This window comes from Homo sapiens, chromosome 11 (assembly GCF_000001405.40).
Source record: "Homo sapiens chromosome 11, GRCh38.p14 Primary Assembly".
Taxonomy (NCBI): Eukaryota; Metazoa; Chordata; class Mammalia; order Primates; family Hominidae; genus Homo; species Homo sapiens.
Window position 1 is genome coordinate 7,870,324 of NC_000011.10, and position 25,806 is coordinate 7,896,129.

Consider the following 25,806-nt stretch of genomic DNA (forward strand, 5'->3'; position numbering starts at 1 on the left):
AGTTTATGAAATTTTCTTTAATCTATTATGGCTTCTGATTCACAGTAAATAAATGCTTCCTCAGAGATGCCTATTATCTGTATGTTGGATCTTCAGACTCTGTACTCCTTATTTTTCATCATCTCTCTTTCATCATTTTTTGCTCATATTACTTTCTGCATTGTGGAAGAGTCTCTCAACTTTGTGTATCTAGCACTAATTCAATAATATGCAATACCCATGTTTCACTTTCACATAATTAAATAAGTTTAATTATGATCTTTTTAGATTGCTTTTATTATTCTTTCTCTGTTTTAGTCAACCAGTCATTTCACCATTTCATTTCATCTACCATCTCCCCACTAAGATTTTTTTTTTTTTTTTTTTTTTTTTTTTTTGAGACAGAGTCTTGCTCTGTTGCCCAGGCTGGAGTGCAGTGGTGTGATCTTGGCTCACTGCAAGTTCCACCTCCTGGGTTCACACCATTCTCCTGCCTTGGCCTCCCGAGTAGCTAGGACTACAGGCGCCTGCCACCACGCCCAGCTAATTATTTTGTATTTTTAGTAGAGACGGGGTTTCACAGTATTAGCCAGGATGGTCTCGATCTCCTGACCTCGTGATCTGCCCACCTCGGCCTCCCAAAGTGCTGGGATTACAGGCTTGAGCCACCACACCCGGCCAAGATTTTTTATTTTTATCTTTCATGTATTGTTTCATTTAACAATGTTTTGGATTTTTATAAATAAAATGTATGTTGTTTCTAGTATGTTTTATTTTCTTATCATAAAATTTAGTATTTATATTTCTGTGTCTTCAGTAATTAGCCTTACCTAGTCCCTGTACCAATGAAAAAATAGAATGTGTCCATCCACCTCTATTTCTGCAGCACTGCTCTGTGAGTCATGCTGAATACTATTCTTATTTCTGACTTCCTTTGAAATCCTCTTGAACAGAATTGAGCAAGAGGTGAGGCTAGGAAGGGGTGCAGTAATAATGATGGTAGCCACCATGCATTTAGAGTGCTCTAGGCAGAAGCAGACAGGAATGATAGAATTTTATGTGACTCATCTCCTCACAGAAAGTCAATGCAGTGTGAAGAAAATAAAGTTAAATAGAGTAAATATAAACACAGTCAACAGTGTTAAGCCTTTTTAAGCAGAAAAACCCTATTTTTAAAATAAAAATGTCACATAGATTTCCAATAAGAAGAAAAGGAAAAAAGCACACTTAACAATAATTCTTCCATGAACATAAAAGTCACACAAGTTGTATCTGAAACTTGCACTCCATTCCTGTGCCCTACCAGGGTTAAGTCAAAGTATCATGGAGATAAGTATGGAAATAAGGGCCCTCTCCAATCAGAGCTGTCCTCAGAAAAACTGCATAATTATTAATGCTATTATTATTATGCATATTTATTATTAAACCTAGGAAATGAAAAACAAACTGCACATTCAACTCAGAAAGCAAGAAGAACAAAATATATAAAAGTCAAAGTAAGAAGTTATGATAAGAAGAAGAAAACTAGTTAGAAAAACAGGAGTATAATAGGATATACAACTAGTTCTAAAGGCTGGGCCTTCTATTTTAAAACTCATTAAACAGGAAAATCTCCAAAAAATCTAATTAAGAAAAATGCAAAAATTTAAAGACACAATATTAGAAATAAGAAAAAAGCTGTATAGCAGCTACTGAAACTTTAAGAAGTATATAAGAACACAGTACTTAGCACTTGCACTGTGCATAATCACTATTAAAAATAGCAGAAGTGTGGGAGATGTGGAAGTTTTATTTACAAGATTTCCAAATTCGTTCTTTGAGACTAACATAGCCTTGATGTCACAGCCAGAAACACACACACACAAAAACTATAACCCAATATCAGTTGTGAAGATAAAGCCAAAAGTTCTAAGTCCAACACGTGCCATTTGAATTCAATACATTATGTATTAAACAGTCCACACCATGACCAGGTAAGGTTTATTTCAGAGGGTCAGATATGAATAGAAACTATGTCAATTAATTAATTCTACTAAGGAAGAAAAACGAGAAAACATGTTAATTTTAGACTTGAAGCAATAAAAGCATTCTCAAAATGTAAGAAAAAAAGAAAGGCTGTGACCATGATCACAGCCATCAAGCAACATGATCTGGGAGAGGCTAGCTATTGCCTATGATGAAAAACTAATATTATCTTATTTTTATGAATCATAACAAGTAATACAAGGTTATTGTTTTAAAATATTAAACAAATAAATGATATAGACTTCCACAACTCACTTTCTGGAGATAACCACTATTGAACCACTATACATGAAAATATTCATGTATTCTCTTCCAGGGTATTTTTGTTCCTCAAACTTTTAATTGCATCAATAAATATGTGGTTATAGAAACTAAAATATTTTAACAATACATTGAGATAAAAAGTAAAAATCCCTCTTACTCCTCCCTGCTATTACTTACCTCATGGAAACAAGAGTTCACAATTTGATATGCATACTTCTGAAACTCTTCTGCATTTCATATATAGGATATGCAAATATTATCTTTCTTAAATATTTGAGATCTATGATCTATAAATATGTATATATACATATACAAATAACATATATATGCACACATATTATATGTATATATATTTCTCTGCCTTGCTTTTTTCACTTAAATTTAAATCTGAACTCTTTATGCAGCTGAATTAGAGAAGCCCAGCTGGATTTATGACCTAGCAGGTCTTTTGACAGTGCAAAGGCTTCCCCTGCAGGTCTTACTATAGAGAACACAGAATACATTATCTGGTTCGAAGAGAGAATAAATAAATGACTAGTCCAGTCTCTTCTGATCTCACCAATCAGATAAGTCATCACTCTTTTCATGTCTTCACATGTCATTGTGAGATGAAGAGAAGTGTGGAAACCATTTTCCCCTACTTCTTAAAGGGTGAATATTTCTGTTTCTAGGGCCAAAGCAGGAAGGTAGGGAGAGGAACTAAGATAATTCCAACCACACGGGACATAGAATATAGCACAGAAGTACTACAATTTATTTAATCATTTGCCTATTAACATTTTTTGTTACAAATATTGCCATAATAAACAGTAGGATAATGAATGCTTCTGGAATAAGACTGCTAAAAGTAGAATTGCTGGATCACAGAGCATATACACTTTTATTTTTATATATTGTTTTATATTTTAATTCTAAAACCAAAACATGAATATGGCTTTAAAAGTTCCAAAAGTACAGCAGAGTAGAAAAATTGAAAACCATTATCTCCCTTTAAAATTTCTATTGGCCACCATAAAAACTCCAACATTTATTATACCACTATTTTCCTGATTTATCAATCTAAGATCTTAGTTGCTGCCTCCCAGCTATAAAAGATAAAAAGGCAGTACATTTAAACTATGATCCATCTTCTCTCACACCAAAGCCAAAATCCATTCTCAATATCTCTCTCTGAAGTATATAAAGGATGTGATACTAAAGGTTATGTAAATGCCCAACAGACTGTCTAGAAACAAATGCATATCAAGGCTTATCATTGTGAAACTTCTGACAAAGGAGGCAGAAAATGGATTTTGCTAGATTCCAGAGAGAGGAAAATAAATACCACAAGCTTTATTAGCAATGAGAATGGCTTTAAGACTTTCAGTAGCAATATGGGAAGCTGAAAGACAATGGAACAATAATTCAAAATGCTTTTTTAAAAAGTGATTTCCAACTTAGAATTTTATAACCATCCAAGGGCCAGGGTAGAATGCAGAGCTTTTTAGATGAACAAGATCTGAAAATGTTTACCTCCCACACACCCTTTCTCAGGAAACAACTTGAAAATGTGCTTCATCAAAATAGGAGAGTGAAGCAATAAAGACATTAAATACCAGAGACACTCCCAAGATAAAGGTAAAGAAGACTCCAAGATAATAGCTATGCATCAAATAGGTGTGGAAGCATGTTAGGAAACACCAGTAAGGAAACACCAGGGACTCTCCAAAATGATGAAATTCATAGAATATCTGATATGAAGTAACATACTGAGAGAATTTTTAAACAACCAGAGGAGAAGAATTTGGAGATTGAATTAGCAGTATAGTTTCCTACTTAACTATAGAAAAAATAGAAAGTTATTTAGTTAAGTTGGCTCAGGTAAAAAAGAGTCATTATTTACTACATATCTCGGTTCTGAATTACATACATTGTCATGATAATTTAAAACTAAATATTGATCTAATTTATATTAAAGAGTAGCAATATTAGGAGTGAAATAACAAGAAATTAGCTGTGTAGAGTGGGAAAGAGAGAGGAATGAGAGGTAAATACTCATCTTTTATAACAGGAAGTCAATGGATAGTGCTTAAACCAAAAAAAAAAAAAAAAAAGAAATAATAATGCAAGCTTGATTTTTAAAGATATAATGATAAACAAATTATCCAACTAAAAAATAATTTAAAATGCTCAACTGTGGGGTAGGAGAAAAAAGGGAGAAAGGAGACTGAATACACTAATTTTTAACTTTTAAAATTAAATTAATATTAAAATGTGCAATTTTGACTTTGGTAAAGACAAACATTTTGAAAATTTTAATATAATGCATAATGATCCCATTAATGATAACAACAAATGCAGCATCAAAAGAAATATTCAAAACTTCTGTTAAAACAAGCAAGCAAACAAATGATATCACTTTACACACAAATGTAAGTACCTAAATAAATAGAAATGTGTTTCACATGAGAAAATTCAATATTACAAATATAATTATCATCTATTTCACTTATATATTTAAATAATTTCTCATTAAAATTTTACAACATTTTAACAAATGATGCTGAGATAACTGAATGTCCATATGCAAAATAATGAACTGGGACTTCTACCTCACACTATATATAAACATTAATTCAAAATGGATCAAAGATCTGAATGTAAGAGCTAACACTATAAAATCTTAAAAGAAAGCATAGGTGTAAATCTTTGTGATCTTGCATTAGACAACAGGTTTTTAGCTATAATACCTACAGCACAAACAATCAAATATATACATAGGAATGCATCAAAACTAAAAACTTTTGTGGTTTGAAGGACACTATCAAGAAAATGAAAATACAACCCAAAGAAAGGGAGAAAATATTTACAAATCATATATCTGATGAGCTTAGTATCTAGAAAATATAAAGAACCATTACAACAGAAGAATAAAGACAACACAATTTAAAAATGGGCAAAGGATTTGAATAGACATTTCTCTGAAGAAAGCATGCAAATGACCATTGGTCCTTTGAAAAGCACATGAAAATATACTAAACATCATTAAATATCAAGGAAACGCAAATCAAAACCACAGTGAAAAGAGTTCCACTTCCTGCATGACAGCATGGTGAGCTCCAAAGTCCAACCCCCGAGCAAAACAAGTGAAAATTGTATTTGGAAACACAATGATTTAGTCTCTGGAAATGCTTCTAAGGGTATACAACAAGTTTTTTTAAAAAATTTATTCAAGAAAATCTACTAAAACTTAATAAGAACAGTAAGATTCTGTGGTATTCAAAACAAGACCTGCTCCCTCCCTCCCCTATCCCAGTTCATCAAGAGACAAACTCTACTCCAAACTGATGAGGTCAAGAACTCAGGGCTCTCTTTCCTCCCAGCTTCCAGTTGGAGAGCTAACCTCCTAGAAGAGGGGGGATTTCAGCATTTCTTATCCTATGCCTAGTTCTGAAGCTAAGTTTCAGGTGAGAGGTCAGTTACAGCTGAGAGGTCAGGGCTCCCTTGTTCCACCAAGCCCCTACTTGTGGGATGGAGGATCTACCTTAGGCATATTATTATCGTGAATTATGAGGCCCTGATCACTCTTGCCCTAACAAATAAGTCAGTAAAGAAGAAATTGAAGGATAAAAACATGCAAGACATACAGGATACAAAAACTAAAATGGCAGACATAAATCCAACTATGTCAATAATAACATTAAATGTGAATGTATTGAACAATCCAATCAAAAGGCAGGAAATCACAGACTGCATTTAAAAAAACACACACACAAGATCTAACTCTATGCTATCTACAGGGTATATACTTTAAATGTATATACAGGATATATATGTTTTCAAAGTTCATCCATGTTGTAGCTTGTGTCAGCACTTCATTCCATTGTATGCCTGAATAATTGTCTACTATATAGATATACTACATTTTCTTTATATATCTTTAAGTTGAACATTTGGATTGTTTCCATTTTTGGCTATTATGGATGATGCTGCTATGAATGTTTATGTACAAGTTTTTGTGTGAACATATATTTTTAGTTCTTTAAGGTGGGACTTCAGAGCTCACCATGCTGTCATGGAAGTGGAACTCTTTTAATTGTGGTTTTGGTTTCCATTTCCTTAATGTTTAATGATGTTTAGTATCTTTTCATGTGCTTTTCAAATGACCAATGGTCATTTGCATACTTTCTTCAGAGAAATGACTATTCAAATCCTTTGCCAATCTTTATATTGCGTTATTTGCCTTTATTATTCTGTTATAACAGTTCTTTATATAATAAATATATTATTCCATAATATAGAAATATCAGTGTATATACAGGATATACACTTTAAATTCAAAAATTCAAATACGTTAAAAGTAAAAGGATGTATCATTCAAACAGTAACCACAATAAAATTGGAATGGCTACACTAATATCAGATGACACAGACTAAAACAAAGCATGTGACTACAGGGATATTTTATAATAAAAGGGTCATTCCACGATGAAAATAAAGCAATTACAAATATATATGCATCTAACAGCAGGACACCAAAATACATGAAGAAAAAACTGACAGAATGAAGGGAGAAATAGACAATTCAATAATAATAGTTGAAAATATTAATACCCCACTTTTAGTAATGGATGAAACATCTAGGCAGAAGATCAACAAGGAAATAGAAGACTTGAACAACACTATCAACCAAATAGACCTAATAGAAATCTATAGAATATTCTACCCAACAATAACAGAGTATACATTATCCTCAAGTGGACATAAAATATTCTCCAGGAAAGACCATAGGTTTACCAAAAAACAAACCTCAGTAAATTTAAAAAGATAGAAATTACAAGATATGTTCTATAACCACGATGGAACACTATGAGAAACCAATAACAGAAAAAAAATTTGGAATTTCACAAATATGTGGTAAATAACACACCCATAAATAACCAAAGGGTAAAAGAAGAAATCAAAGGGAAATTAGAAAATAATTTTAAATAAATTAAAATTAAAATATAGCTGTCAAAATTTATGAGGTATAGCTAAAGTAGTTACTTTAGAAAAGAGTTTGACGATTCTTCAAAAAGTTAAACATACAGTTACCATATGATCCAGCAGGTCCACCCATAGAACTGTACCAAAAACAACTAAAAAATACATGTTCACACACACAAAAAGTGTGCACATTCATAGCAGCATAATTCATAATAGCCAAAAATGGAAACAACCTAAATGTTCAACCTGTATATTTAAAAATGTAGTATATCTATATATAGTAGACAATTATTCAGGCATAAAATGGAATGAAGTATTGACACATGCTACAACATGGATGAACCCTGAAAACATTATGCTAAGTGAAAGAAAACAGAGACAAAAAGCCAATATATTATATGACTACCTATATATATGAAATGTCCAGAATAGACAAGTCCATAGAAACAGAAAATACATTAGCAATTGCTATTCTGGACATTTCATATACATTTAATCATATAATATGTTTCTGTGAAGATTTGCAGGTTTACCTTTCACCAGGATACAAGCCCCAGTTAGGGGATAAAGTTCTGCTTGCTGGGCTGAAGTAGCCATTGACAACAGGGCTGCTTCAGTTACTTAAAAAGAATGATAACAGTACATCCAGCAAGATACTTTTCTTCATTAACGGACATGTATGATCCATCAGTAAACTATGAAAATTCTGCATCTGGTATACGGGTTTCTTGTAAATCAGCTCTAGGTTTTAGTAGCTGGTCAGTTAAATTTAGTCAGTTATGAGGTGTCTCGTCATTGAATAAGAGAAGGCAATTTGCTGGATTATGATTATTGAAATGAGAAAGAATAATATGAGAAGTCAACAGCAAGATCTCATAAAAAGTGACTCTGCTTGCAGAAAGATATTGAGTATTATGAGAATTGATTAAAGCTTCTATAACATGAGGAACATAGATTTAGTTAAAGCCACAGTGCCTGATACAGCTCCCATGCAGGAAGGGAGTCCCTTAGCTACTGAATCTAATTGCTGGCTGTAACATCCAAGGGGTGTGTGTGTTAATCTCCATGTTTTCAGTTAAGAACCCCTAATGCACTTTCTTCTCTTTCATTCACTAGAAAGGAGGAAGGGGAGCTGATAAGGGGTGCCCTAAGGCAGGATGACTTAGAAGTCCTTATTTTAATTGAAAGGAGACTCTACAAGCATTCTCTTCCCAGTCCGGAGGCTCCAGCTTGTTAAGTTTCAGAAGGATATATAATGATAGAGCTATTAAGAAAAATTAGATACCCAGTTTCAACAGTACTCTGCCAGGCCCAAAAACCCTTGTGACTGTCTTTTAGTCTGAGGTTGAGGAAAGTTTAAAATGCTTTCGTATTAGTCCATTCTCACATTGCTACAAAGAAATACCTGAGACTGAGTAATTTACAAAGAAAAGAGGCTTAATTGACTCACAGTTCTGTGGGCTGTTCAGGAAGCATAGCGGCATCTGCTTGTCTTCTGGAGAGGCCCCAGGAAACTTACAGTTATGGCTGAAGGCAAAGAGGGAGCAGACATGTCACTTGGGCAGAGCAGGAGGAAGAGGGTGGGGGACAGGAAGGTGCTACACACTTTTTTAAACAACCATATCTTATGAAGACTCACTCACTATCCCGAGGACAGTATCAAGAGGATGGTGCTAAATCAGTCATGAAAAATCCCACCCCCGTTATCCAATCACCTCCCACCAGGCCCTACCACCAACACTGGGGATTACAATTTGACATGAGACTTGGTGGGAACACGGATCCAAACCATACAAGCTTTTAAGTCTATCAGGATCCAAGAGAGGTCCCTAGTTTAGTATCAAGTATCTGAAATATTTGACATTCCTTGGTAAATTGGAATTTTCTCTGGAAACTTTATGGCCTTTGTCTGCTAGAATTTTAAGGATATAAACGCTATCATGTTCACAAGCCTCTTTACAAGGAAAACAAAGGTTATCAACCTACTGAGAGTTGACCCTTGGGGAAAATAAATGTCCGTTAAATCTGTCTTCAGTACCTGTGAAAAGTGAGAGGGGCCTTCAGTACATCCTCGAGGCATTTCTGTCCAGGTATGTTGTTGTCCTTTCCACGTGCAGCAAATAAAAATTGTCTCTCAGTGTCCACCAGAACCAGTGCCTTTAAAAAGCACTACAAATGTCTATCACTGTGAAAAATTTACTTTCTGTGGAGATGAAAGTCAGGAAGGTACATAGATTTGTAACGACAGTGTCGAATAATGATATCGTTATCAATGGCTCTTAGGGCCTGTGCAAATCTCCACCATTGCCAAGAGGTTTCTTTACAGGAAAAACAAAAGTATTACAGGAGCTAGGAAAAAGCGGTACAAGCTTCTCACCGTGTGAAAGAAAATGAAGTAATTAAGGCTAAGGCTTTAAAGTGGAGACAGGAGATTGCAAGGGGATTGCACTCACACCTGCTAAAGGATTACAGAATGTTCCAGCTGACTTGGATAACAACTGAATTCAGTGTCTGCAGCCCTTCAACATCTCTCAGCTGGGAGTATCCTAATTAACCAATCAGAATGGGTTTGTATTTTAGGATTTCTGCCTAGCCAATGAACTGCCTCAAAAATTAACTTTTTGTGGAAGTCACCTAGAAATAAAAGTATAGATCAATGAAACAGAACAGACCCAGACAACAGACCAAAGTATATCTAGGAGCTAAAAATAAGATAAAAGAAGTATTTCAAGTTATTGCAGAAAAGATGTTATTCAAAAGTGGTGTAAGACTAGACTATTCTTTTGGTAAAAAAAAATACTGGATATCTAGCTTATACCACAGCCAAATGTAAATGTGTCCGTGGGAAAAATTGGAAAATGTGTTTTAATGAACTTTAGGTTGGATAGATTTTTCTGCAGATGACACCAAGAACACGATTCAAAATGAAAATGGTGACATATTTGATCCCATACATGTTTTAAATATTTGTATGAGATATTGGAAAGAAACTGTAAGGTAACTAAAAAATACTTGAAATCTATTCAATTCAATCTAGTATTTATATTATATAAAAAGTACTCACAAACAAAAAAATCCAATTTAAAATATATATAAATATTACATATTATATAATATAAATATATAAATATAGGATATATATTTTAATGGGCTGTATACATACATAAATTCATTTAAAATAAAATACATATAGGATAAAGGGCTCAACTTTATTCATGATCAAAATAATGCAAACAAAATAATAGCGATATATTAATTTTTACCTATCAGGTTAGCCAAGATTTAAAATGTAAGCATAAACCCCCCCCCCATTGCTAGCAAGGCTAAGGAGGAAAGGGAAATTTCATACATAGTAGGAGTAAAATGTTTCTGGAGGGAAACCTGGCAACATTTAGAGAAGTTAAAAATATAATTTTCTTTTATAAAAAGAATTGCACTCATAAGAATTTATTTTAAGAAATAAATCATGTAAGTGCAAGGATATTCATTTGCGTATTCTGTATAATAGTGGAAAAAATTGGAAACCACTTACTTGCTCATCCAAAGGAGGATGTGTAAGTAAATCCAGGACCATTCATATCATGAGATACTATCTGTAGTTGCATAGAAAAAATGCCCATGGTCGTCTATTAAATTACAAATAAAAGGATTCAAAACAGTATATATAAGATAATTTAATTTCTATAAGTAAAAATATGTATGCATAAAATTTGCAGGGACTATAAACAAAAAAAGGAAACTGGGAAAGTGTACAACTAGATATTATATCTCTAAGCTGATGGGAGTATGGATATTCTCCTTGTTTTTATTGCTTGTCTGTATTTTCTAGCCTTTTAAAGCATTTATTTCTCTGTTAATTTTCCAAAATAAAAATTTTAAATAGGAAAAAGAACAAAGAAAGAAACTTTTCTTTGCTAGATTTAAAATGTATCCTAACAATAACAAAGTAATAACTAAAACAGTGTAGTGCACTGGCCCAGGAAAATAATAAGCACATAAAGGAAAAGAAATATGATATAAATATTTATAAACACATATAGATGAATATATTTTTAAAATATGTGGATATTTCAATAAATTGTGCAATAAATATAGGGTTTTTTTGGAAAAGTCACAAAGTACCAGAAATGTAGGTGAAATTTATAAACCCTTAAGGGTAGGAAAATTCTTTCTAAGCATGGTATCAAAGGCAGAATCATGAAGGTAAAACAGATTTAATGCACAATTTAAAAGTTCTGTGGCCAGACACAGTGGCTCACTGTGCAATTCCAGTACTTTGGGAGGCCAAGGCGGGAGGATTGCTTGAGCCCAAGAGTTTGAGACCAGCTTGGCAATATAGCAAGACCTATCTCTACAAAAAGTAAATAATTGGCCAGTCAAAAGTCATAGTGGCACACACCTGTAGTCCCAGTTACTCATGAGGCTGTGGTACGAAGATCAGTTGAGCCCAGGAGGTCGAGGCTGCAGTGAGCCCTGATTGCAACATTGCACTCCAGCCTCGGAGACAGAGAGAGATCCTGTCTCAGTAAATAAACAAATAAATAAATAAATAACATGTTCTATGTACTTAAAGTATACCCAAATCAAAAATAAAATGAAAGTTTTGAAAAATATTTGTTAAGAAATGAAAAAGACAAATGCTCATAATATATAGTTTTCACAGAATAAAAATGTAGCTATGATTATATCTCTATTGCCTAGTGTTTTTCACATCCACAGTCCACATCAGAAAACAGCAATCCTGGGTTGATTCTTCTGCCTCAGGTACTATAATTTTCAATATATTGCATATAAAACACACCCTGTATCCCGGCCCCAACTGAGTGGAACAAGCACCAGTGTGTGCTCTGGTTATCCTTTTTCTGACCTGGTAACAATCTTTTCTTGCCCTTCGCTGATCAACTCTGCTCTGTGCCCCAGTGGGCTGCACACACGCATGCGCACACACACACACACACCACACACACTGCACCACCCAGGCTCTTAGATCTCTGCATTCTGGTTGGGTCTAGCCGATTGAAAGCACCAGCGAAAGGTTGGAAGTGTGGGAAGAGAGGTTAGGGGATGTAGTCTCTGGTTTCCTCCCTGCTCCCCCTTGCACTGTGGTTCTGGCAGTGTCTAGTGCCTCTACCATTAGTGCTCTAACCAGGCAACCCCCTGCCACACGTCCGCCACTCAGGTGACACTAATTCCTTATCACCATTTCAAGCCTAGGGTCTTAATGGCTTTATTTTTAGTTAATGTTGTTACTAGTCTCTGAGTGCCTCAACATCCCTCATGATTCCCCTTAATTCTGCCCATACCTTGGTAAACAGCCTCTTCATTAAATTCTCTCCAAAATCTCCACGAGTTCACCTTCATTTCCTATAGTCCCTGCCTGAGAAAGTGGATGAACGCAATGCTATCAAAAATTGGCAAGGAACTGCAACCTCCTCTGAGTTGGCTTAGTAAGATTGTATACCTAATCAGAATGATCCCCATTAAGATGACGCATCTCCCTATTTATATCTCCTTTAGGTGAACTCAGAGGAAGTGGGTCACTGAGTTCCAGCTGTATCTGGATGACCCTAAACTCTTGTAACTCTCTATGATGCCAATGCACTGGAAGCCCTGGGAGTCATAGGGGGCTTGTTGTTATAACCCAGATTTCAACAGGCTTTTCTAACTCCTTGAGACCTAGAAAAGTCTCTGAAATTTTAGCCAACATCAGACTTATGAGACTATAAATATTGGAACAAAACAGGTAAATTATCATTACTTCCTGATGATGCTCATGAAGCCCAAGAAAATCAACTAAAAAGAATACTATGTATAAATAATTTTTCCATAGCTGACTAGTTCCATATTTGTCATAAATTATTTTTTATTCTTGATTTTTCCCTCTTCCTAATGTCCCATTGTAATGGGATCTTTGGGGTGTCACTCTTCTGGCCAGAAACCTCTGTGGCTGGCTGGTGACACCTTTGCCCAAGTTCTTGTCCTATGTCCAGAAAGAATGAGGTATGCAAACAAGTGGAAGTTGAACAAGATGAAGAGGAGCTTTATTGAGTGTTATGACAGCTCAGAGGAGACCCACAGAGGGTAGCTCCTCTCTGTAGGCAGGTAGTCCTGTCAAGTGTTCAGCTCTCAGCAGAGAGGAGGGCCTGGAGAAGGTAGCTCCTCTCTGCAGGCAGGTAGTCCTGTCAAGTGTTCAGCTCTCAGCAGAGAGGAGGGCCTGGAGAAGGTAGCTCCTCTCTGCAACTGGTCATCCTGATATCTGCAGCTCTCAGCAGAGGAGGCCCTGGAGAGGGTGGCTCCTCTCTGCTGGCAGGTCATCCTGTGATCTCTACAGCTCTCAGCAGAGAGGGTAGCTCCTCTCTGCAGCTGGTCATCTCATTATCTCCAACTCTCAGCAGAGACAGTATCTCCTCTCTGCGGCTGATCATCCAGTCCTCTCTCCATCCTCTGCTGGCTCTTGCTGAGCCCGTGGCTTTTATGGACCTCAGAGGGGAGGAAGTGTGTGTTGATTGGTCCATGGCGGCCATGGGTGGCAGGTCCTGGAAAAGGCACCAGAAGCCCCCACTCCAGTTTGCGGGACTGGCGGCCCAGCCCCCAGAATTCAGGCCCTCCCTGGCCTGAAGGTGGGGCCTTACTGGGACTGCCCTCTTCTGCCCAGGAACCTGTTTGCCTCCTGCTGCCATTCATGGTGCCAAAGCTCACCCAGACTTCTCTAAGATCTGAGCAGGTACCAACAGCAGGGGAGAAGCCAGGCAGGCAGTGGGAGCAGGCACTTCTGAGTCTACAAGGGCAGGGGTCCTTCTCAGCCCCCAAGAGTTCAGGGATGCAGGGAAAGGGGGAGGGTCTGGCTCCTGCTCCTGCTCCTGCTGCACGAAGTGGGAGGCCCGGATCTGTAGCCACTGATCCGGTTGTTGCAGCTGCACCTGGGAGGGTGGGGCTCCTGCCTGTTCCATGAAGCAGGAGGCCCAGGTCTACAGCTGCAGTGTGGGTAGCTGCAGGGCACCCTGGGAGCTCCAACCCCAACTCGGAACAGGCAGGGCTCCCGCTTGTCCAAGGATCCCGCCAGCTCCATGGAGCATGCAGCCCTGGCAATGCCTCCCTGCTGCTGCCATCACCATGACCTATCAGTCACTAAGTGAGCAATTCTATGTGATATTTCTTGAAATTCTCCATCTGACTCCATTTTTATTTTGACTGCCCAGACTATCCAGGGTCAACAGCAGTCAAGGCCTCTTTGCCATGGCAGCAACCCATGAGTCAGCCAAGATGAGCAGACAGGCTGCCTGAAGAGCCCACCGGGACAGGGGCTTCTGAGCTCCACTCAGAAGTGGAGCAGGTAAATGATCAAGGTGGCAGCAGGTAAATGATCAAGTGAACTGATTCATGAACATTAAAATGAAGCAGAAAACACTAGATGTGTGTGTGTGTGTGAATGCATGTGGGTGAGTGTGTGCTTAACTTTAGATCCCAATAGGGACACGTGCTTTTCAAATGCTTATGACACACACAAATTGGCCATAGATTCAGCTGCAAAGAAGTTTTTAATAGATTTCCAAAGATAGAAGTCATATAGAGTACAGTGTTTATCGAAATAAATTAAAACTGAAAATGATAACAGAAAATAGAAAAAAAAATTCTAAGCACTTAAAAATGAATACCTCTTATAAATATCTTGAGTTTTTAAATATATTCCTTTTATGGCATAACTAGAAATGGATCACTATCATCAAAGGAATGCATTGTATATCACTATTTGTCCAAAGTGGTAAACTGAAGAAAACTTGTAGCCTTAACACTATTTAATTTAAAATTAGGGTGATTTATAAAATGAAATATTCAATCAAGGGGGCTAGAAAAATACCACTAATCATAATGCAAAAAGTGGTGGAAATGAATTAATACATATAAAAGCATGAATTAAATAAATTACAGAAAACCAGTATACTTGATTTAATGAGGAAATATCTACTTCTTTGCAATAACCAATAATTGGCACATCCTGGATAAGTCTACCAAAGGGAGAAAAGAAAAAGAAAGAGATGTAAGAAAAGAAAGGAAAAAAACATAAAATTAAAATAAGGAAAAGATGTATAACCACAAATTAAAATAATTTGCTAGGTTCAGCTTGATACTATAACCATTTTATAACAAATAATTTGAAAAAGCTAAATGAAGGAATTGTTTTCCCAACTGTTATAGAGTAATACTTCCCAATATTTTTCACACCATAGAATTCTTGGAAAATGATAATGTTGCATGGCACAGTAGTGTGAAAGAAAAATTTTACTTGTGCCTAGAAGCAATAGCCATTAAAATTCTGGCCATCTCAGCACATCTGTTACCCACTTATGGCAGGCTGGTTGGAAGTTGTATTGTAAAAGTCCTAGTCAAGACAATATGCCAAGATTAGGGGGAGACAATGAGGAAGAAAATGCTAAAATGAAGAAACACAATCATCAAAATTATGATTTTTTGCAGATACTATTATGTAATTAAATTGATAGAAGAAAAAATAGGGAAAACCTCAACATAAAATCATAAACAGAAGAGTTAGGAGTGGAACTCTAAGTTCAGAATCAGTGGATACAAGCAACAGGAAGAAGCAATGGAGATAGTCATCAGAATGATTAAATAAGGTATTGCCAATAGTTGACCAATCCCTTTTCCTCTGCTTATGCTGAGCACAAGCTCATTCCCTGTGAAATTAAAGTAGTGAGTGTGGCCCCTAGGAACAGAGACTCAGGGCAATTTTCCAGGTAGGGTGGGCAAACCAAGATGAATGGATTGCGCCAACAATCAAAAAAAATTTTTTTAATTATTGACATACTCACATGGCATGTTCTACTCCTCCAAATGATAAAGGGAAGCTCATCAGAAACCACATACATAGGTAAATACAGAGAAATTATCAGTCCAAAGGTGAGATGGCAATCAAAAACCACCAGGCATTTGAGGAAATTTTACGCCTTAAAAGAGAGAAACCAGACAGGTGCAATGGCTCATGCCTGTAATCACAACACTCTGGGAGGCCAAGGCAGGAGCATCACTTGAGCCCACGAGTTCCAGACCAGCCTGGGAAACATGATGAGACTCTATCTCTACAGCAAAAAAATTTTTAATTAGCCAAGCATGGTGGTATGAGCCTCGGCTACTCAGGAGGCTGAGGCAGGAGGATCTCTTGGCCCAGCAGGTTGAGGCTGCAGTGAACCATGATTGCACCACTGCACTCTAGCCTGGGTGACAGAGTGAGACCCTGTCTCAAAAAAAAAGAAAGAAAGAGAGAAACTTAATTTCATTAACAAGAAATAATACCTAATAAAACAGATCATAAACAAAAAAAGTTAAAATTACTTCAATTAATAGAAACATACATTACTAAGAAGATTATTTAATTATGTACTTTAAATACTTGAAATTGTGATGACTGAAAAATATTTGAAACTTATTAGATAAAAGAATGGGCTGAAAAAGGGAATAGACATGATTGAAGAAGGGACTGATGGACTAGAAAACTAAACTTTGTTTTCACCACCTAAAAGCAGAACAGAAAGAAAAGATTTGGAAAATAAAAAAGTGGACATGCAGAAGATATATTCAGAAACTCAAGCCCTATTTATTTAAATAGAGTTCCAAAAGGAGAAAATAGAATGAGGAGAGAAAACAGTCAAAGATAACTTTAAGAACATTTCACACAGCTTAAGAAACACAAAAGTCTTCAGATTTAAAAGTCCCATTGAGTGACAAGCATGGTGAATGTTACAGAGGCACAAATCCAGATTCCTCCCATGGTAAGTTTCAGAGCACCAAGAATGGAGTGTAATATTACAAACTTTGGGCGCGGGAGGAGAACATAATTTGACTCTAAAGAAATAAAAAGATTAATCCCATGCTTTTCTTTAGCAACAGTTTGTGATAGAATGCAATAGGCTTTCCTCAAAGTTCTAAGAAAAGTTTATTTTGAGCCTAAACTACATCTAGTCAAACTAGCATTGAGATGAAGTACAAAACAAAGCATTTCAAACATGCAAGATTTCAGGAAGTTTATTGCTCTCAGGCTCTCTCTGAAAGAAACCCCATCTCTACTAAAAATTCAAGAAATTAGCCGGGCATGGTGGCAGGTGCCTGTAGTCCCAGCTACTCGGGAGGCTGAGGCAGGAGAATCGCTTTAACCTGGGAGGCAGAGCTTGTAGTGAGCCAAGATCACGCCATTGCACTCCAGCCAGGGCAACAGAGTGAGACTCCGTCTCAAAAAAAAAAAAGAAAGAAAGAAAGAAAAAGAAAAAAGAAAAGAAAAGAAAGAACTATTCCAGGATATAATCCAGCAAAAAAAAAAAAAAAAAAAGGGGGATTTCAAGTCAAAGGGAAATCACACACGCAGACACAAGTGAAGTAAAACTCAAGGAAATCATATAATTAACCTCAAACAATTATTGACGCAGGCTGCAAAAAAATGAGTTTGGAAAGAAATCTCAGCGTCAACAAGAGAGATTATAATACAAGGCAAGAGAGTGGGTTTGGGGGAGAAGGAAATAAAAGTGTACTGAAGTTTTACCTTTTTTTTTTTTTTTTTTTTTTTTTTTTTTTGAGACTGAGTCTCACTTTGTTGTCCAGGCTGGACTGCAGTAGCGTAATCTCAGTTCACTGCAACCCCCGCCTCCCGAGTTCAAGAAATTCTCATGCCTCAGCCTCCGGAGTAGCTGGGACTACAGACGCGAGCCACCACACCCAGCTAATTTTCGTATTTTTAGTAGAGACGGGGTTTCACCATGTTGACCAGGCTGGTTTCGAACTCCTCATCTCAGATGACCCGCCCGCCTTGGCCTTCCAAAGTGTTGGGATTACAGGCGTGAGCCACCAGGCCTGACCTGAAGTTTTAATCTTGTTGAGGGAAAAGGATATAGTGAATAGATGTATTGATTAATTATATAAATCAATCTAAAATATTTAACATTTAACATTCTTAAAATTAAAATTCCTTAATTGTAATTTTAAAATTCTTTGAAATTGTGTTTCTATTTTAATTTGGTTGTACTTTTTTCTTAATTCTTGAGATAATCACTAAGGATAGATACTTTTACCCCTAGAAATACTGTTTCACTCCATAAGAGATTATTTCAGAAGTTATCTTCAGCCCCCATGGCACCCTCTCACTCCCCTTAACCAATCCATCACTAATGGTCATGCCAGTTTCATCCCAATACCTCCCCAGTCTATCTGTCTCTTTTGTAACCACCACAGTTCAGCCCATCATACCTCTTACCTGGACAGCCTCAATAGTCAGCTAACTGGAATCCCCGTATCAATGTCTGTTTCCCATTGCCTACACTGCAACTTCTCAAAGATCTTTTCAAAATGCAAATCTGTTCATGTCTGCTCTTGGCTTAAAACTTTTTGATGTCATTAGATGTATACGAGAGACTTCAATTATAATCAAGTTCATATTATTTAAAAGCATTATCCAATTATAGTATTATATTTAAGTTAGTAGTAGTTACATGGAAATGTATTACATTATCCTCTGTCATCTATATATGAAACATTTCTCACATGAGAAAAACAGCCAAAAAGTTCAAAACAAACAAAAAATCAAAATCAAAATATAGCAAGAGATTTTTCAATTGCATCCTTAATGAAGTATTAAAGTTTTCTATATCCAATCCTTGCACATGGGCCATGCTGATCTTCTCTGTATCCAATTTTAGTACATGTGCTCCCGAAGTGAGCACTATATGTCTAAACTTAACACCTCCTCAGTTATGATATTAATACTTCTCATACTTCTTTGAGTTCTTTGTCTGAGATTTCTTTTTGCTACAGAGGCTTTGTTGTTTCTGCCCATGGCTCTCTCTGCCACCTACTCTCTACAAACTCCCTGGTTAATTCCTATTTAAAATTCAGATTTAAATGTAAATATCACTTTCTTGGAGATGTATTTCTTAACCTGTCCAGCCTAGATCAAGGTAGATAGATCAATAGATAGATGATAGATAGATAGATAGATAGATAGATAGATAGATAGATAGTCTTATTGGTTTGCTTTACATATTCCTCCAAACACTTATTGGCTTGTGATGATGCGCTGATTTATGTAATTATTTTATGTATGTATTTTGCCGTCTACTATAAGCCCCATATGGGCAGGAACAATGTCTGTTTTGGTTCCTTATTTTCAAGTCTAGCATGGAGTGACCCCTTGGTAAGTGTGAGTTGAATGAAGAAGAAAAGGGACATGCTGTGCCTGGGATACGGTCAAAACTTAGAACCTGGAGTTAAAGGGAAAGGTAGTCTATTGCCTCTTCTGCCACTTAGCTTTGGACAATGCATTTGAGCCTTCCCAGCTAGGTTTCTTCATGAGTAAAATGAAGGTAATAGTAGTGCCTCTGCTACAGGGCTGTTAAGAGCATTAAATGAGAAAGCACAAAGAGCTCAGCAGAGTGCCCAGCTCATAGTAGACACTCAAATCATTATTCATTATATTTTCATGCTTCTATATTTTTCTTCTTTTGTTACAAAATTTTCACACTGAAATGTTCTCCCTCTCTGCTCATGCTCTTCCTACTGTGATGTGTTGATCTTTTGTGTCAAACTGAAACTGCTTTCCATTTCAGGTCATCTGCAGAGCATTTGAATGATAGGAGGAGGAGATGATGGCGCTGCCATTTATCTGTCAGATGTGTCACTCTCTGTGAGGGGCTGGCCTCTCACAGACCTGGGGTTCCACGGGCTGCAGGGAACCCACCCGAGGTAGAGACCTCTGGGCTGGGCCCCTTGTTCTTTCCTTTCACTCTGTCGAATCCTTGGCTTTTATTTTTCTTCAGGGAAAACATGACGGTGTTTTTCTTGTAGATTTGTTTTGTTTTATTTTTACTTCAGATTCATGTGCTTATATTGGACAAATCTTAAAGCTTCCACATGTTATCCAGGGAAAAATGTATTGCTTTTTATTGAGTTGAGACTGATCAAGCTATCAAAAATTCACACTTGGCTGAGGCTGTCTTAAGTTTGGTCAACTTCTCTAGGTTCAGCAAGATTTTGTAACTATTACTGAAGTCTGTGGTGGCAAAGGGGCTCCGTGAAGGGAAACATCTGGATTTAAAGTAGACTTTAATTACATCTCACACCCCTGCTCTAGACCAATGTTTAAAACCCCAGGGAGAAGCTTAAAAGTGTGACTCCGTTTGAAACTCAGGAGTCATTTTAACCTAATTGCTCCCTTATAGCTTAAAGCTAACACCTAAGCCTTTAAGAATAAACTCATAGTCCCTGATTCCTGACTGTATTTGCCCTGAGTAAGTGCTCCCACAGGATCTGCACACTATCGCTAATTTCAGTAAATGTTTTCACGGTCTTGGCTGTAGAGTTAATGCCTAACAAGTTCCAGAGGAACCAATTTCCTGCTGGAGGAAACTTCCTTACCAAGTTTCCTAATTATTCCCAGTCATTGCCCTGTAGAATCCAACTGGCCAGGGGAGGCTGTTAATAGGCCACAGGTGACAGCTACAGTTAGGTTACCAAGGAAACAGATCAACCATGCAGAGAGCGATGTTTGACACAAGGAGACCAGGGACCCGTAAATACATGTATTTCCTGCTGCCTCTTGTTTCCTGAGGTGGGGGGAATCAGGACATACATCCTTCCTCTCAAAGTCATTGAGAAATTGACTATAGTGAATTCTCCCAGCCAACATTCTGAAACTTTTTGGTCTCAAGACTCCTTTATACTTCTAAAATTTCTAGAAAACCCCAAAGAGTTTTTGTTTATGAAGATTATAGCAATTCATATTTACTATATTCAATATTAAAACTAAGACATTTAAAAACATTTATTTAACTCATTCAAAAATAATAATAACTCCGTTACATGTTGACAGAAATAACAATTTTGATCAAAGATATTTAAAAGGATGTTATTGTTTTACATTTTTGCAAATCTCTTTAATATCTGGCTTAGAACACAGCTGAATTCTGTTTCTGCATTCAATCTGTTGTGATATAATGCATCATGTAGCTTCTGGAAGACTACTGTACATTCTTGGGCAAATGAGAGATAAAAGGCAAATAATATTTTTAAATTACTATGAAAATAATTTTGATCTCACAGTACTCATAAAAGTGTCTCAGGGTCTCCCAGAGGCCCCAAAACCAACTCTCAGGACAACTATTCTAAACAAAACCGCACTAAAAGATGGTCATTGAATAGCTTTATCTGAATGAAACACAAAGCAAAGCAATAGACCAAGAGACAAGTTTACAATTATGAAAGTGGGAGCATCTGTGCTCTGCTCTTCATATTTCTGCTACTTTCGGCCATCCTGACCTACAAGGACTTCCAGCCTCTTGTCCAGACATCCTTATAATGACATCTGGCCCTAACACCAAAAATAGATTTACTACAATTTTCTTTTGAAACAGTGACTTGAAATTCTATAAACTACCAAGTATCAGCAGTCCATAGAGTTTTTTAGCAAAGGCTACAATGTTAGCAAAAAGCAGGTAATATTTGGCAACAATAATCACAGAGACTGAACAAATTTTCATTCGTAATAAACGCCTGATTTTCCCCACCTTTATAAAGGCCTGTCTGAGAAGCCAAAAGATAGGGGAAACACGAACTTTCTAAAAAGAATTGCCCTTATGTACTTCCCAGAAGTGGTTGTATCTTATGCCCAAATTGCATACGCTGATGGGATGGATTCTTTGGATGCCAAAAGAGTTGCACAAGGACACGTGATGATCTCAGGCAGTGTGTCAGACCTCCAAGAACATCCAGTATTGATTTGAACAACTCTGCCCACAATCTCTGCTTAAGACCTATTATTCCAGGCATACAGTCTACCCAATCTGGCCACCTCTGTAAGGCTGTTTGAGCCTGAGCTACATATTGGAGACAAGATCTTAGTGCACAGTCACTAACGCAATGCCTGGGGCACTTAAGCCCAACATGGGGGTACTTTCAGTTCCTGTTCTTTTATCACATGAGAGACAGTAGAATACACCTACTAGTCAAAAGCACAAACTCTGAAGTCCAAGAAATCTGTGTTCTAGTCCTACCCTGTCACAAAATAATTTTGAATATTTGGACAAATTATTTAGTATCTTTCAGCTCCTTTGTCAAATGGTATTGTTGTGAAGATTAAATGAGTTCATACACGTAAGGGACTTAGTAAGGTATAGAGTATTCAATAAATACTGGCTATTTTTTTAAGGGACGGGGTCTCCCTATGTTGCCCAAGCTGGTCTGGAACTCCTGGGCTCAAGAGATCCTCCTGCCTCAACCTCCAAAAGTGCTGGGATCATAGGCATGAGCCACCATGCCTATAGAGATAAATGTTGGTAAACCATAAGCAAGTTTAATTCCCTGGACTTTCAGCCGTGAGAGTATAGCAATTACACACTGTAGCCATTAGATGGCAGTAAGAATTTAGTCTATCTTTTGGCATAAAGCGCCAACTATTTCCTGGAGTTTTTATTCATCTAGGGCTTGGAGGCTTCACCCTCAAGCTTCTTCTTAGATCCACTTCCTTTGTCCTTGCTACCCTGTCCCCTGGTCTCTTAATTTGAACTGCTTGGTCTCTGGAAGCCCTGTAACATCATGGGTCTCTACTCTTCCCTCTGGTTTGCACATACTACATCCATTTGTGTCTGTCTCTTCCTCAGATACAAACCACATCAGCACAGGGCCTGTGCCACACTGATTCAATCTCTCTCCTCTATTGGATTTTTTTCATGGGACTTCAAACATTCTGCAATCTCTCCAGCTTAAGAAGATCCTCCCTGGATCAGGCAGCCCTCTCTAGGTATTGCTTTCTAACTCTGTCCCCACAATTCAGACCTCCGTTTTGAGCCTGACCTATATACCCCAGCTATCTATTTGACTGATTTCATGCAGGCATCTGACACCTTAGTCATTCAAAACTGGATTTCACCCCCAAAAGCCCTCTCTTCCAGCAATCCATATCTCAACAAATGGAACCCCCATCCACTCTCTCCTCCAACCAGAAAGGTAGGCTTATCCCTGACACCTTTCTCCTACCCTCTCCCCACATATAATCCTTACCAAGTCCTGTCAATTTGATTTCTTAAATATGGGTATAAACTTTCACATTGCTGCCTTTCCACTGCAGAGGTGTCAGGGATAAGCCCACCTTTCTTGTTGGAGCAGAGAGTGGATGGGGGTTCCATTTGTCGAGGTAAGGAACACTGGAAGGGAAGGCTTAGTCCAAGCTAAGCTAAGGTGAAAGTCCTACTCTCAGCTGGGCCACAGCAATTGCCACTGCCTTGTCTATTATCTTCTCAGCAGCCAGAATGATGTTTTAAAATACAAATTTGGCCATGTGACTACTCAGTGTTAAACCTTTCCCTGGCCACCTATTGCTAGTAGGTGAAGTTCAAAGTTCTTATTGTACCTACAAGGCTTTGCACAGTCTGCCTTCAGCTTATCGCTCCACCCTACTCCTCCCTCTCCCTCTCCAGCCCTCTCCCGTTCCTGAAGTGGCATCAAGCTCCTTCATATTCATACCTTCAAACACTTTATTCCTTCCAGATGAACTGCTCCCTCCTCCACAGCTGGGCCTGGCTAACTCCCATCATCCTTTAAGACTCCATTTAAGTGTTACTTTCTCAGGGAGGCCTTCTCTGTCCTCAGCACCACTCCTCTCCCTGCCACCCCTCCAGGTTAGATAAGTTCTTCCTATTATAATCTCAAGGTATTTTGTGTTTTTTCTTTATAACAGTTATCACAATTATAATTATGTTTCGTTATGTATTTATCTAATAATCCTCTCTCTCATTAGACTATCTTGCTTATCTTTGTGTTCCCAGCACCTGGCACAGTGCCTAGTACATAAAAATCATTCAACAAACATTGTTGGTTAAAGATTAAATGGCTTTTTTTCCTCAAACTGGCCATTCTCACTCTCACAGTGTCTTGGCAGAAACTGCTAGAAAGTAACAGCCCAACACACACACACACATACACACACACACACACACACGCACACAGAGAAAGAAAGAGAGACATGCACCAAATATAGTCTCTATACAAATAACACTCATCCTTCACTACTTAATTCAAATGTCACGTCAACAATGCAACCATAAGAAAAAACTAAAAGTAGACATTGGCTTTGGGATGGGAGAAAGGACAGAATCAGCAAGCATCTTGAGGATATTGCTGATGAAAGTTTGAAGAGCTTCAAGGAGACGGTTGATATAGAACTTGCAGACAGTGAGGAAAATGTTATCAGATGCTGGATTAAAGAACACCCAAAAGATGCCTTGGCCAAACAGTTAACAAAATCATCACTGCAGCAATGTAGAAAATAAAAAAATATATCAATAAAATGGCAGATCTGACTAAGGATATTCCCAGGCAGAATATCATAAGAGCTGATTTCTTTTAGCTGCATATAATAAAATACTAGTAGAGAAAAATAAGCTAAAGAACAAACTATTCAGTTTTTTAACAGAATATGGAGAAAATGTAAAGGATCCGGAACTTGCTATATTCAAAATAAATATGTCCGTCATTCCCAGTCTCTTCCAGTGAATGATTTTGAAAGAAAGAAATGGTTTGGGGGCAAAGATCAAATTCAGGGAGTGGTTTGTAAGACCCTTTGTTAAAACCTTAGAAAAACCTTTAACAAAAAAGAACTCCATCCTGCCTGATCAACAGAATACTGTGGAAGTCACATTGCTCCAGTTTCTTGGATCAGACCTTGAGTGACTGGCAGATTCCAGAATACTCAAACACTCACCATGGTATGTGTCATTTTTAAAAGGAGGGGTTGGGAGAGTTTGTGTGTAAATTTTCTGTTGATGATCCCCACTAAAGACTTGCTAGGTCTTCTCAACAGTTCATTACTGTAATGAACAACCAAGTTATTTGCCTTGAGCCTGGTCAGGAGTCTCCTGAAATAGCAAAGTTATGTTAATGAAAACAGTGAAATGATAAAGTCATCTTAATGTAGATGGTAAGTTATATGGGTTTGGTAGTTTGGGTCCCTAGAGTTTTCATTCTATATGAATTGATATTGAAAGAGCTGTCAAAATAAAAGTTGCACTGGGCAAAGTTGAACAGGAAGAGATACTTTATTCAAGACTATTGCAACAAGGGACAGAGATTAAACTCAACTCAGCTGAAACAAAAGCCTGGCGAGAGTTTAACAGCTGGAGTAGAGGGAATCATAAGACAGTGGTGTTCACTAATTGGCTGAACCCAAAGCAAACTTTCTCTGCTTATAACAGGAGGTACTTGTATAACTTGGAGCAAAATGTCTACTGAAGTTAGGCTCCTACCCTCCCATGGAGACTGGAAGATAAGGAGCTATTTCTTTTGATGTTTACATTTAAAACTAGTAAGAGGCTTCTAAGCAGATTTACATACATTTCAAAGGAGGCAGAGAAAAAATTTGCAATTACAAGTTTTCTCCAGTGATTTAAGAAAAGGGAGGTCAGGGACCTAGAGTCAGGAAAAAAAAAAAAAAAAACACCTGTCTTAATTTTACTTAAGCTGAGGGGAATGTTGAAGGCCATCTCAATCAAAGCATTCCTGTTATTTAAATTGAAGGAATTTCTC

General features: G+C 37.3%; 1 long non-coding RNA gene and 1 pseudogene across 1 annotated transcript in view; both read right to left on the minus strand.

The window, feature by feature from the left end:
• The window catches only part of LOC283299 (uncharacterized), a 55,205-nt gene that overhangs the window by 19,573 nt on the left and 9,826 nt on the right, over positions 1-25,806 (minus strand). Inside the window, exons 2-6 of the long non-coding RNA NR_036678.1 lie at positions 12,537-12,610; positions 11,633-11,750; positions 10,766-10,826; positions 9,272-9,436; positions 8,684-8,760 (exon numbers count right to left, since the gene is read on the minus strand). This is a non-coding gene — a long non-coding RNA (uncharacterized LOC283299). The remainder of the gene's footprint in view (positions 1-8,683; positions 8,761-9,271; positions 9,437-10,765; positions 10,827-11,632; positions 11,751-12,536; positions 12,611-25,806) is intronic.
• RNU6-943P (RNA, U6 small nuclear 943, pseudogene) lies at positions 18,859-18,956 on the minus strand (annotated as a pseudogene).